The sequence below is a fragment of the Homo sapiens genome, chromosome 18, assembly GCF_000001405.40.
Source record: "Homo sapiens chromosome 18, GRCh38.p14 Primary Assembly".
Taxonomy (NCBI): Eukaryota; Metazoa; Chordata; class Mammalia; order Primates; family Hominidae; genus Homo; species Homo sapiens.
In genome coordinates, this window is record NC_000018.10 from 23441585 (window position 1) to 23456005 (window position 14421).

The 14421-nt window shown below is 42.8% G+C and overlaps 1 protein-coding gene across 4 annotated transcripts in view, besides 3 other annotated features; it reads left to right on the top strand.

The window, feature by feature from the left end:
* Positions 11421-11860: an enhancer, noted in NCBI's record as "active region_13156". NCBI's record gives its function as "activates an Ori minimal core promoter by ATAC-STARR-seq in GM12878 lymphoblastoid cells {active_cell/tissue: GM12878}" and the evidence as "EXISTENCE:reporter gene assay evidence [ECO:0000049][PMID:35858748]".
* Positions 11421-12002: a biological region, named in NCBI's record as "H3K27ac hESC enhancer GRCh37_chr18:21033050-21033550".
* Positions 11502-12002: an enhancer, noted in NCBI's record as "H3K27ac hESC enhancer chr18:21033050-21033550 (GRCh37/hg19 assembly coordinates)". NCBI's record gives its function as "activates a minimal SCP1, AML or CMV promoter by ChIP-STARR-seq in naive H9 embryonic stem cells {active_cell/tissue: H9 hESC(naive)}" and the evidence as "EXISTENCE:reporter gene assay evidence [ECO:0000049][PMID:30033119]".
* Positions 11703-14421, top strand: part of RIOK3 (RIO kinase 3) — a 29854-nt gene continuing 27135 nt past the window's right edge. For all 4 annotated transcript variants that reach the window (NR_145477.2, NM_003831.5, NM_001348193.2 and 1 more), the window contains exon 1: positions 11703-11918. Coding sequence is in view for 3 of the 4 variants with exons in the window: in NM_003831.5 (NP_003822.2) it covers positions 11856-11918 (63 nt within the window). In the remaining variant the exon portion in view is untranslated. The remainder of the gene's footprint in view (positions 11919-14421) is intronic.

Below are 14421 nucleotides of genomic sequence, written 5' to 3' on the forward strand. Positions count from 1 at the left end.
GGTATTCATACTATATTGAGTTTAATCACACTTCTGTTATATATTATTATCAAAGAAATCTAATCATTCTTTTCTTTTTTTTTCCTTTGAGGTGAGGTCTTGCTCTGTCACCCAGGCTGCAGTGCAGTGGCATAATCTTGGTTCACTGCAATCTCTGCCTCCCGGGCTCAAGCAATCCTCCCATCTCAGTCTCCTGAGTAGCCAGACTACAGGCACATGCTACCATGCCCAGCTAATTTTTGTATTTTTTGTAGAGATGAACTTTTGCCATGTCGCCCAGGCTGGTATTGAACTCCTGGACTCAAGCCGTCCACCTGCCTTGGCCTCCCAAAGTGCTGGGATTACAGGCGTGAGCCACCGTGCCCAGCCAAAATCTAATAGTTCTAATATAAGATTGTATTATTTAGCTATTTAATTTTATTTTAAAGTGTCAAAAAATAGGCAGAATGTGAAATTGGTTTCTGATCAAATGCAGAAATGCTAGTGGAGTGGTATGTATAAACGTATGTGATGGAATTATTAACATTGTTTCCAGACATGTGGGGTCGGGGGCGGATTCCAATGGCTTCAAAACAGAGAAGAAATTGGAAAGAAGCTGAGAGACTACATTAGTTAGGATATTTTCTAGTGTAAGTCAGAGAACTTCTAACACATATTGGCTCAAATGATAAGAATACATTGATTCATGTAACTGAAAAGTCCAGATAGATCAGGCTTCAAGTATAGTTTGGTCCAGGTATTCAACAATACCTGGGGTATCACCAAGAACTAGGGTGACCATGGATCCTGATTTGCCTAAAACACTTCTGATTTATGCTTTTGTCCTAGCATAATTATTAACAGCACCCCTTTCATTCCTACAAGTGTCTTGGTTTGGATGATAAATGGTCACCAACCAAGAACTTAGTTTCTTCCTACCCTTGGCTCTGCTTTCCAGGGCGCCTGGGTTCTCATGTGATTACTGCTGCCAGAGGAACCAGGGCTACCTGTGGCTCATTCAGCTTCAGAATGAGAATTTCTCTTCCCCCATTCAACAAACAACAAGCCTGTGGTTCCTTAAAATTAGACCATCTCAGGACAAATGCCTACCCGGAAACAATCACTGTATATAAGATAATTTAGACTTCTTTAGTTACATGATTAAAATTTACAAAATTATTTAGAGATTGTATAGCCAGCAAATAAAGAACTAATTATTTGTTTTCCCTAAGTAAACTGCTTATCAAACTATATTATCCAAGCAAACACCAGATATATCATCTCTACATCAAAGGTAAATAAACCTCTGGAAAAGATAAATACAGCTTAAATCAGATAAATAGCATAAAGCATAAATCAGATAAAGAGTTATTTTTCCTTGAAGTTACTTTAGGAAACTTATTTCAGAGCTAAAGTGTCCTTACAAAGAAATTTTTTGCCCAGTAGAATTTTCTTGAAATCAATGGTTCGTATTTACCTGAGATTTCTCTGAGCTCTTTCAGTAGAAGAGCAAATTCAATTCAGGCCTTATTATTTCCCAATCATTGCTTAACTTGTTTTCTTTTACAAATTTTGCTTATCAAGCGGGAACAACCAGAACAGTGAGTCATGAAAATTGATACTGACATTAGCAGTAAAAGTGCTGAAAGATATTGCCAGAGGTATTGATTTTTCCAAAGCTGTATTATTCTGTTCCAGAAACAAAGACTGAATTAAAACAAAATCAGCAGATTTTACATTGACGAACCATAGCTGTTAATGTGAGATTGAGGTAAACTTGCTATGCACATGAAAATATGTACTTGTATTATTAATTGAGATGTTTGAGACCAAAGGGGCATTATCATTAATTACTTTATTTATTTATTTATTTATTTATTTATTGAGATGGAGTCTTACTCTATCGTCAGGCTGGAGTGCAATGGCACGATCTTGGCTCACTGCAACCTCTGCCTCCCGGGTTCAAGCGATTCTCCTGCCTCAGCCTCCCGAGTAGCTGGGACTACAGGCGCACACCACCACACCCAGCTAATTTTTTTTGTATTTTTTAATAGGGACGGGGTTTCACCATGTTGGCCAGGATGGTCTTGATCTCTCTTTTTTTTTTTTTTTTTGAGACGGAGTCTCGCTCTGTCGCCCAGGCTGGAGTGCAGTGGCGCAATCTCGGCTCACTGCGAGCTCTGCCTCCCGGGTTCACAGCATTCTCCTGCTTCAGCCTGCCGAGTAGCTGGGACTACAGGCGCCCGCCATCATGCCCGGCTAATTTTTTTGTAATTTTTTTTTTTAGTAGAGACGAGGTTTCACCGTGTTAGCCAGGATGGTCTCGATCTCCTAACCTGGAGATCCGCCCGCCTCGGCCTCCCAAAGTGCTGGAATTACAGGCGTGAGCCACCGCGCCCCGCCCATTATTTTTTTTGATAATATATTCATAAATGCTCAATAAATGTTTATTGAATGAAAAAAGAGGGAAGCTTGGATAAAACAATGGCTTGTGGGATTTTTCCCCCACAAATCTTTTTTTAATAATAAATTTTTATGATAGCACACATGCAGAATTCTCAAAAGATGACAGAAGCAGTAGCACACATTTTGAAACTCCTTAAATCACCCTTAAAAAACAGAGAGAATATAAATATCTCCTATGAATATAGATGCAAAAATCTTCAACCAAACACTAGCAGAAGGAATTCAGCAACATGAAAAAGAATATACAGCTTGACCAAATGGGACTTATCCCAGGAATGCAACGTTGGTTTAACCTACAAAACCAGTTCATATAATACACAATATCTAATAAAGGATAATTTATTATATTGATATAATAAAGGATACCTAGACATAGATAAGACATTTGACAAGATTCAACACCCCTTCGCAATAAAAACATTCAGAAGCTATGGCCGGGCGTGGTGGCTCACGCGTGTAATCCCAGCACTTTGGGAGGCCGAGGCAGGTGGATCACGAGGTCAGGAGATGGAGACCATCCTGGCTAACACAGTGAAACCCCGTCTCTACTAAAAATACAAAAAAAAAAAAAATTAGCAGGGCGTGGTGGCGGGCGCCTGTAGTTACAGCTACTCGGGAGGCTGAGGCAGGAGAATGGTGTGAACCCAGGAGGCGGAGCTTGCAGTGAGCCGAGATCGCGCCACTGCACTCCAGCCTGGGCGACAGAGCTAGACTCCACCTCGAACAAACGAACAAACAAACAAAACATTCAGAAGCTAGAAATAGGAGGGAACTTCCTCAATATCATAAAAGGTTTCTATAAAAACCCACACCCTAACATCATAGCTAATGATGAAAGAGTGCTTTCCTCACTAAGATCAGAAGCCAGACTAGAATAACCAACTTGTCACTTCTATTCAACACTGTGTTGGAGGCTCTAGCCAGGACAACAAGGCAAGGAAAAATAAATAAATAAAAGGCATCCAGATTTCAAAAGAAGAAATAAAACTATCTCTAATACAGAAGACAAAATTTCACATATAGAAAACCATAAAGAATACACTAAAAAACTGTTAGAACTAGTAGATGAATCCAGCAAGTTGCAGAATGCAAGATCAATATACAAAAATCAATTATATTTCTATACACTTGCAATGCACGATCTGAAAATAAAACTAAGGAATAAGTTTTATTTAAAATACCATAAAAAGCATAATACTTATGAAAAATTGGCAAAATAAATGAAAAATTTATTATCTGAAAACTACAAAATATTTTTGAAGGGCATTAAAGAAGACCAATTGAATTAATTAATAAATAAATAAAATTAAGCAGAAAAATATCCCATGCTTATGGATTGGAAAACTGGATATTATTAAGATGGCAATAATCCCCAAGTTGATTCTACAGATTCAATACAGTCCCAATCAGAATTCTACCTGGTTTATTTTTCTCTGCAGAAATTAACTAACTGATCCTAAAATTCATATGGAAATTAAAGAGACCCTTTATAGCTAAAAATCTTAAAAGAGAAGAACAAAGTTAAAGGATTCATAGTTCTTAATTTCAGAGATTATTACAAAGCTACACTCAAGACAGTATGGTACTGGCATAAGGATACACATACAGACCAATGGAATAGAACTGAAACCCCTCACGTTTATGGCCAGTTGATTTTTGACAAGACAATCCGATGAACAAAGAACAGCACTTTTTAACAAATGATGCTAGAAGCCAGGCACAGTGCTTCACACCTGTAATCCCAGGACTTTGGGAGGCCAAGGCAGGAGGATCACTTGAGCCTAGGAGTTTGAGACCAGCCTTGGCAACATGGTGAAATCCCGTTTCTACAAAATATAAAAATTAAAAAAGTAGCCAGGTGTGGTGGCGCACACCTCCCAGTTACTCAGGAGGCTGAAGCAAGAGAATTGCTTGAGCCTAGGAGGTCAAGGCTGTTGTGAGCCATGATTGTACCACTGCACTCCAACCTGGGTGACACAGCAAGACTCTGTCTCAAAATAAATAAATAAAAATAATTTTCCTTTTGTTTATCCCTTATAGTCGATCATTATATATCAATTTTAAAAGATACTATGCAGTAAAGGGAGCAAAACAAAATCTTTGTTGTTAAAAATGGCAATGGGTTAGATAGGCTTAAGAACTGCTGAGTCCCAGCTGACCCTAACTGAACCATATCTGTAACATTTCATCTAATAATCTTATGAAACTACTCAGCAGTCACTAAATATACTATGGGCTTTCCTGCCCCTATGCCTAGTCTTAGGCTGTTCTTCCACCCAAACTAGCGTTACAGCTTCTCCCCAGCGTTCATGACCTACTTTGGTGCCACGCAGCCTTTCCAGATCTCACTACCCCACAATGAATCCTGAAATGTTTGTGTCTATAGCTGTCATTTGGAAATAAATCATGCACTCTTTGAGATAGAGGTGTTGTATTGTTATTTAATGTTATTGTGTGACTATTGTTATCTCTCCAAGTGCAATCTCACAGTTCTTTGTTTTTCCCAAAGGACTGGGGGCATCCTAGGTAGTTAATAGATAGTTGTTCATTGCCTGAAACAGCTATTTGCAGAATAGACTTATTTCAATATTAAAAACTAAAGAGCCTTATTTCTGTTCTCTTTAGAGACCAAAGAATCTGCTGATTCATGTGTTTAGACAGGGCAGATTCTCAAATAGTTTTGTTCCTGCTGAGAACCAGTGAGTTTGGCTGGGTGCGGTGGGTTACGCCTGTCATCCAAGTACTTTGGGAGGTCGAGGCAGGCAGATCACGAGGTCAGGAGATCGAGACCATCCTGGCTAACACGGTGAAACCCCATCTCTACTAAAAAAAAAAATACAAAAAAATTAGCTGGGTGTGGTGGCGGGTGCCTGTAGTCCCAGCTACTCGGGAGGCTGAGGCAGGAGAATGGCGTGAACCTGGGAGGTGGAGCTTGCAGTGAGCCGAGATTGCGCCACAGCACTCCTGCCTGGGCGACAGAGCGAGACTCCGTCTCAAAAAAAAAAAAAAAAAAAAAAAAGACAGAGAACCAGCAGTGAGTTCATCAGCAGAGAAGACAGGGAGTAGGAGCTGGAGCCAAAGCCTCTAAACATTGCTTACTCTGCCTGACAGCAAAATGGCCGTTTCCCCATTCAAGGACTCACTATTAAATCACATAGGACTAAATGCTGTTATTGGTAAACCACATTTTTCCTATTAGCAACATTTGTAAATGTAGAATTTGCAAATATTGTGCATGTCCTTCTATCTTCCTTTTTAAGGAGTACATAGTTGGTGGCATCAGGTATGTATCTTAACTGTCAACAAGCAACCATTAAAATTGTTAAACCACAAAACCCATGGGAACTCATAAACCATTAAACCCATAACAAGGGATTAATCAACTTCCCTTGTCCTTACAGCCTGCCATCCCTACTTTCTTGCCTCATTTAAAACCTTAGGGTCTTCTGGAACTATTCATTTCCCTCCAGGGCAGGGCAGCATTCTTCACTCTCCCCAGCACAGCTCCCAAAATGTTATTCCTGGCCCCTCAGGTTGTCAGGTCTCTCCAGTCTCTAACCATTCCATTATCATGACCTCTAAATTTCCTTAGCATCATCTACCAATCTCTTGGGTACAATCTGCACATTGTCTAAGACTGTGGCACCGGTACATTCTCTTCCAATCTACCTCAAGTCCTGCCATCTTGCTGGGTGGTTTTAGGGTCCACGCATATCACCCATCCAATACACTGACATTTTTATCCTGATCCGTTAAGCTTCCCAACCTCAACCTCACCACCTCTTCATTATGGCTTCCTCTGACCTCAGAATTGCCTGCATCTTCTCTACCTCTAAAATCCTTCAGTAGCCCACTATCTTTGTTACTTTTTTTAAAAATTGAGGTGAAATTCACATAACATAAAATTAACATTTTAAAGTGTAAAATTCAGCATTTAGCAGATTCACAATGGTGTGCTGCCACCACCTATATCACCCCTAAAGAAAACCCCATTAAGCTTACCCTTGAAGCAGTCACTCCCCATTATCCCCTCCCCACTCATTCCCTAGAAACCCCCGATCTGCTTTCCATCATTATAAATTCACCTATTCTGGATTTTTCATATAAATGAATTCATAGAATATGTGACCTTTATGTCTGACTTCTTTCACTCAGCATCTTGTTTTTTTCAATGCTCATACACATTGTAGCATATATCAGTACTTCAGTCCTGTATTAGCTTGCTAGGACTACCTTAACACAATACCATAGACTGGGTGATTATACAACAAACATTTATTTTCTCATAGTACTAGAGGCTGGAAGTTAAAGATCAAGGTACTGGCAGGGTTGGTTTCCTCTGAGGCCTCTCTTCTTGGCCCACACATGGCTGCCCTCTGGTTGCCTCTTCCCATGGTCATCTCTGTGTGCATGAGTGTGGTGCTAGGGTTTCTTCCTCTTTTTATAAGGCCACTAGTCATACTAGGTTAGGGCCCCATCCTGATGGCCTTATTTTAACATAATCACCTGTTCAAAGACCTTATCTCCAAGTATGGTTACATTCTGAGGTACTGGGAGTTAGGACTTCAAATACGAATTTTGTGGGGATACAAAATCAACCCATAACTTTTCCTTTTTATGACTGAATAATATTCTATTATTTGTATATATCATATTTTGTCCATTTATCCACTAATGGACATTTGGTTTGCTTCTACCTTTTGGCTACCATGAATAATGGTTTTGTAAACATTCACATACAAGTATTTGGTTATCTGTTTTCAGTTCTTTGGGGTATATACCTACGAATAGGATTTCTGGGTTATATGATAATTCTATGTTTAACTTTTTGAGGAACTGCCAAACTGTTTTCTATAGCAGAGCACCATTTCACATTCCAAGCCATGTATGAGGGTTCCCATTTCTCCACATCCACACCAACTTAATTCTTTAGCTCCAGAAAGTGTCCTTTCTCCCACTGAATTTCTTTACTCCAATGCATCAAAATCTCCTGTCCCTAACTCCCTGCATTCTTCCTAACAACCAGCTCCTTTTAAAGTTATGTCCAGCCAGGTACAGTGGCTCATGCCTGTAATCCCAGAATTTTGGGAGGCCGAGGTGGGTGGATCACCTGAGGTCAGGAGTTCCAGACAAGCCTGGCCAACATGGTGAAACCCCACCTCTACTAAAAATACAAAAATTAGCAGGGCGTGGTGGCACGCACCTGTAATCCCAGCTACTCAGGAGGCTGAGGCAAGAGAATCACTTGAACCTGGGAGGCGGAGGTTGCAGTGAGCCAAGATCACACCATCGCACTCCAGCATGGGCAACAGAGTAAGACTCCGTCTCAAAAATAAAAAAACAAAAAACAAAAAATTATCTCCACAGCCATTATAAACCACATAATTCATTGTGTGTCACATCAGGCTCTCCAACTTTCAGCTTTCTGATATAGGAATAACAATATCCCCCAGAATTGTTTTAAGAATCGGCCAGGAGTGGTGGCTCATGCCTGTAATCCCAGCACTTCGGGAGGCCAAGGTAAGAGGATCACTTCAGCCCAGGAGTTCAAGACCAGCCTGAGCAACATAGCGAGACCCCCTCTCTACTAAAAATTTAAAAATCAGCCAGGCTTGGTGGCACGTCTCTTTAGTTCCAGCTATTCAGGAGGCTAAGGTGGGAGGATCACCTGAGCCCATGAGTTCCAGGTTGCAGTGAGCTGTCACTCAGCCTGGGTGACAGAGGGAGACACTATCATGAAAACAAAGCAAAACAAAAAATAGAACCTAATGAGCTCATGTATTTGAAATGTTTAAACACGTAGTAAGCATTCAATAAACGGTAGTTATGATGGCTACTGAATTTTTGTTTTCAGCCCCTATTTTTTCTCATAAACTCTAGACTGCCTATTGGCCACTTTCAAACAGCATCCATACAGTTTGTTCATTTGCAAATATTTATTGAGTGCCTACTATATGCCAGCCACCATGCTAGGCACTGGTTTACAATAGTGAACACAATTCCTGCTCTCCTGGGAGGAAAAAAAAAACAGATAGGCAAATAAATGTGTATTTACAGTTTTACAGTTTTTGATCGCTGCTGTGTTCCATAAACAACCTAATTGTGACATGTATAACATAAAATTAATTCTATCATCTTCCCTTCAAACCAGATCTCCAGGCACCGCCTTCCACCCAGTCAACCAATCAAAAAACGGAAGTTATCTCAGACTTCCTGACCTCCATTGAGATGCCTGCCTCCCATCCTGCCCTGCCCCCATCTGGCACTGCCAACATCGGCACCAAAACCCAAGAATCAAATCTTGGAAATAAGAGAAATTGGATCAGAGTTGGAATAAAGAAAGAAAAAGTTTCTGAGACTTGAAATTAGACTGAAGGTATTAACACATTTAAAGACTGTGTCAGCCGGGCGCAGTGGCTCACGTCTGTAATTCCAGAACTTTGAGAGGCCGAGGCAGGCGGATCACCTGAGGTCAGGAATTAGAGACTAGCCTGGCCAACATGGCAAAACCCCGTCTCTTAATAAAAAATACAAAAAAATAAAAATAAAAATTAGCCGGGTGTGGTGGCAGGCGCCTGTAATCCCAGCTACTCGGGAGGCTGAGGCCAGAGAATCGCTTGAACCTGGGAGTCAGAGGTTGCAGTGAGCCGAGATTGCGCCACTGCACTCCAACCTGGGCTACAGAGTGACACTGTGTCCAAAAATAAAAAAATAAAAAATAATAATAATAATAATTAGCTGGGTGTGGTGGCACGCGCCTGTAGTCCCAGCTACTCGGGAGGCTGAGGCAGGAGAATTGCTGCTTGAATCCGGGAGGGGGATGTTGCAGTGAGCCGAGATCATGCCACTGCACTCCAGCCTGGGCGACAGAGTGAGACTCCGTCTCAAAAAACAAAAACAAAAACAAAAAAAACTCTTGGACCTGAACCTTTCCTGCATTCTCCAACCCATTCTCTCACTTTGTCCCTGTTGAACCCTACATCTGACCATGCCGAACCACCTGGCCTTTTCCGAGGTACCCTGAAGACTGCTCCCCTTGTACAGAAGGCCCTGCTCCACCTTACAGCCCATCTCACCAATGCCTGGTCATCTTGTGAGGCTGAGATCAAGTGTCATCTACTCTAAGGAATCCTTCCTGACATCTGGGTAGATCTGACCTCTTCCGGCCGGGCGCGATGGCTCACGCCTGTGATCCCAGCACCTTGGGAGGCCAATGCGGGCGGATCACGAGGTCAGGAGTTCGAAACCAGCCTGGCCAACATGGTGAAACACCGTCTCTACTAAAAATACAAAAATTAGCCGGGTGCAGTGGCACGCGCCTATAGTCCCACCTACTCGGAAGGCTGAGGCAGAAGAATCGCTTGAACCCACGAGGTGGAGGTTGCAGTGAGCCTTGATCATGCCACTGCACTCCAGCCTGGCGACAGAGCGAGACTCTATTTCAAAAGAAAAGAAAAGAAAAGAAAAGAAAAGAAAAGAAAAGAAAAGAAAAAAGTTAAAAAAAAAAAGATCTGACCTCTCTCCTTTACATTCAAAACAAAACAAAAAGAATATTCAGATTCTTAGTTTTATTTTCGACTTCCTGTCCTTTTCTGATATATCCCCCAAATAGTCTCTCACTGGCACATTTTTGTCATACACTGCATCTCAGCCTTAGCCTTTCTTTCTGGTCTGGTCTTTTCCTTTTAATCTTTTTTCTCTTTTTTTTTTTTGAGACGGAGTCTCACTCTGTTGCCCAGGTTGGAGTGCAGTGGCATGATCTTGGCTAATTGCAACCTCGGCCTCCCGAGGTCAAGTGATTCTCCTGCCTCAGCCTCCTGAGTAGCTGGGATTACAAGTGCGTGTCACCACACCCGGCTGCTTTTTGTATTTTTAGTAGAGATGGGGTTTCACCGTGTTGGCCAGGCTGGTCTCAAACTCCTGACCTCAGGTGATCCACCCACCTTGGCCTCCCAAAGTGCTGGGATTACAGGCATGACCCACCACGCCCAGCCCTCTCCTATTTTTTCCTAGCCAGAATTGAGAAGTCCATTTCTATTAATAGTTACACCCATTTTTCTTAAACTATTTATCGTCCAATTATAATCCTTTGAACACTAGGAAGGAACACAATTTCCACACACATTCACATATATAGGCAACATTTGCCAAGCACACATCTGCACCCTATCATATGGCTATAGTTTGCCTTATTGCAGTAGGGGTATTTGGAGGATTCAGAACATGTTTTCACCTGGAATGGAAAGGAGGCAAAGATTGTGTGCTAATGGAAATCATTAAGATCAGTAACCCAGGGCTCTCAAGTATGGACAGTTAGAGATACTGACTCGGAACTGAGATTTAGGGAAAACAGTTATTCAGTACCTATTTCTAGAATGTTTGAATATACAACATATAGACAGTGTATAGTTTATAGTCAAAATATAATGTACAGCCAGTCCAGTTCCCAAACCGATTGTCTGGGTTCACCCCTTATTAGCTTTGCCACTTGTTATCTGTGTGACCTCAACTAAATTACTTTACCTCTCTGTGCCTCAGTTTCAATATCAGTAAAATAGAGATAATGACAGAATTTAGCTCTCACGGTAATTTTGAGGACTAAAAAGTTAATGAAAGATTTGAACAGTGCATTGATATACTAAGTGAAATGCAATGTTTAGTTATCTTTTATCTGGTCATTTTATTAGAATCTCTACAAAATACAGAAACAAAAGTTTTATTATGCAGTCTTATTTTTGTTCACTGTTACGTAACACATTTTACACATTTTCCGCATTCCACGCCCCGCCCTTCAACAACAACCACCACAAACTCCGACCGTCCTTTCCAGGCCCTTTCCCTCTATAAACCTGCCGTTTTCTGTCTCCCAAGTCATCCCAGTTTAGAACTGCTCCAGGAAATAATGAATGAACAGAGAGAGCCTAGTTTGTTTATTTATTTACAATCCACTAGTCTAATCTAGTTTAGATCCAGCGGCAATTTTTGGGGTGCCAAGGAGGAAAGAAGGAGATGGCAGTGCGGGGACAGGGCAGAGCCTGGGCCAAAGGAAGCCACACCCAGTTCTTGCCCTGCCCTGCCCGACACAGGCAACGTGACCCCAAGCGACAGCCAGCTGATGCTTGCTTCTCCGAGCCCGGCGGTCAGCAGCCGGAAGTAGCCCGCCCGGGGGCGGGGAAAGGTGCCTTAAGGAGGAGCTAGGGGCGTGCGGCCAATTGCAAGCGACTGTCCTAGCGAAGAGGGCGGAAGAGGAGAGATCCAGTTCCGGACGCGGCCGCCGCCGTCGCCGCCATCTGTCACCTCCACTCCGGCATCAGCAGCCAGTCGCCCGTGTCCCGCCTGTCTCCTCGGCGGAGCCTGCTGCCCGTCCTGCCACCTCTCTGCTCTGTTCTTGTCTCTGCCTTCATTCCCGAATGGATCTGGTAGGAGTGGCATCGCCTGAGCCCGGGACGGCAGCGGCCTGGGGACCCAGCAAGGTAAGTGGCAGACGAGACTGGAGTACTAGCCTTGGTCACACGGGCTGGATCTCTCGGAAAGCTCGGAGAGGGCGGCTTCGTGGGCGATTCGGGAAGTTCTGGGGCGGGACCCCGCGGACCTCGGCAAGGGGGCACTGGCCGCGGGGGTGCCGGGATGGGGATGGAGGGAGCGGAAAGAGGGGCGGAGGGCGGCTGGATCTCCCAAAGGCCACCTTGAGTGGTTAGGGCTCTCTATTTCTTCAGCGTACTTTCTGTATCACCGTAGCATGTATTTGAGCAGGACTGGCTTACACACCCTGATGATACTGGAGGGGAAACAAGCACGATCTTGTTTTTCACTGGCCAAGTGAGTCAGCCGAATACACAGCTAGCCAGACAGAAAGTTGGTTTAGGAAGCTGTTTACTTAATTTGATAAGTGTGGTTATCCCAGTTTGGAAATGTCTTGTTTTTGAAGCAGTAAAAGATAAAACCCAGGCGCACCCTCCTCCCTCGACGCTGAAATTCAAGTGCGCACCACGGACTGTAAAGTGCTTATGAATTTCATTATCTGCCTAAGCTTTGACGTTTAAACTTTTTCATAGAGTGGCAAACTAAAGACCTTTATTTCACATTTGCTTTCTGGTTTCCAGGCAGGTCCTTTTCATGATACTTTGATTATATGGATGAAAACACTTTTCTGCCACTTTATGGAGGGTCTGCTTGAGAGCAGAGTGCTTCCATTGGGATTTTTTGTTCCACAAATTAAGGTCGTAAAGGAGTCTAGCTTTTTTAGCTTCATAGTTGTTCTTTACATGCTAACACAGAATATTTGTTCCCATTTAAAAGGTCTTATTAGATCTTCAGGCTAGGCCTTAACAGGAAAAGGGGTCAATAATTAGCTATTAAGTAACCAAAAGTTAATTTTGTAAAAGTTCTCGTACAGCTGTTGGAAGAATCTGAGATACTGCGTTGGCAAATGTGGTTAAGTCTGCATGTTATTTTGTGTATTTTTCCTTGAGACCTTGTTTACAAGGTCAAGATTAGCAGACATAAAAGGATGAAATCAGTAGACAGACTAGTATTATGAATATATACCCTGTATGTTAAAGTCCTTCAGTTAAGCATTGGCAGAGGCTGGTAAAAATGTCAAATGAGACAGACTCTATTCAGAATACATCCTAATCTCAGAACAAATTTCACTTACAAACTAATTCAGTAATAAACTATTTAACAGTCATATTTTTATTTAAGTGTACATCATCAGAACTATAAAATTCCATTTTCATTGTGCAACAAAAATGCTTCTGGGATTTATAGACGCTCTATTGGGAGGACAGTGTTTTGAAAGGCAAAACAATTAGAAACAGGCTGAAAGTACTATCATTAATCCTTTTTTTCTCTAACCTTTTGGAAAACCAAAGTGATTACAGAAGCCTACATGGAGGAGGTGAAGATTTGAGGAGGGTTTTGAAAAATGGAAGGATTCTCAAAACTTTTTAGTCAGGACTTCTTTCCTTCCTTCCTTCCTTCCTTTCCTTCCTTTCCTTTCCTTTCTTTCCTTCCTTTCTTTTCTTTCCTTTCTTTCCTTTTCATTTATTTATTTATTTGAGACGGAGTCTCGCCCTATCGCCCAGGCTGGAGTACAGTGGTTTGCTCCCAGCTCACTGCGACCTCTGCCTTCCGGGTTCAGGCAATTCTTGTGACTCAGCCTCCTGAGTAGCTGGGATTACAGGCGCCTGCCACCACGCCCAGCTGATTTTCGTATTTTTTTTTGTAGAGATGGGATTTCACCGTATTGGCCAGGCTGGTCTCAAACTCCGACCTCAAGTGTCCACCCGCCTCGGCCTCCCACACTGCTGGGATTACAGGCGTGAGCCACCATGCCCAACGTCTTTCTTTTTTTTTTTTTCTTTTTCTTTTTTTTTTTTGAGACGGAGTCTCGCTTTGTTGCCCAGGCTGTAGTGCAGTGGCGCGATCTCGGCTCACTGCAAGCTCCGCCTCCTGGGTTCAAGCGATTCTCCTGCCTCAGCCTCCCGAGTAGTGGGACCACAGGTGCCCACCACCACACCCGGCTAATTTTTTGTATTTTTAGTAGAGGCGGGGTTTCACCGTGTTAGCCAAGATGGTCTCGATCTCCTGACCTCGTGATCCGCCCACCTTGGCCTCTTTCTTTTTTAATTGAGACAGGGTCTCACTCTGTCACCCAGGCTGGAGTGCAGTGGCATGATCACATCTCACACTGTGCCTTGACCTTGCAGGCTCCCACCTCGGCCTCCTGATTAGCTGGACTACAGGCCAGTGCCACCACACCTAGCTAATTTTTGGGTTTTTTTTGAGACGGAGCCTCGCTCTGTCACCAGGCTGGAGAGCAGTGGCATGATCTCAGCTCACTGCAACCTCCGCCTCCTGGGTTCAAGCAATTCTTCTTCCTCAGCCTCCCAAGTAGCTGGGACTACAGGTGCATGCCACCATGCCCAGCTAATTTTTATATTTTTAGTAGAGATGGGGTTTCACCATGTTGGC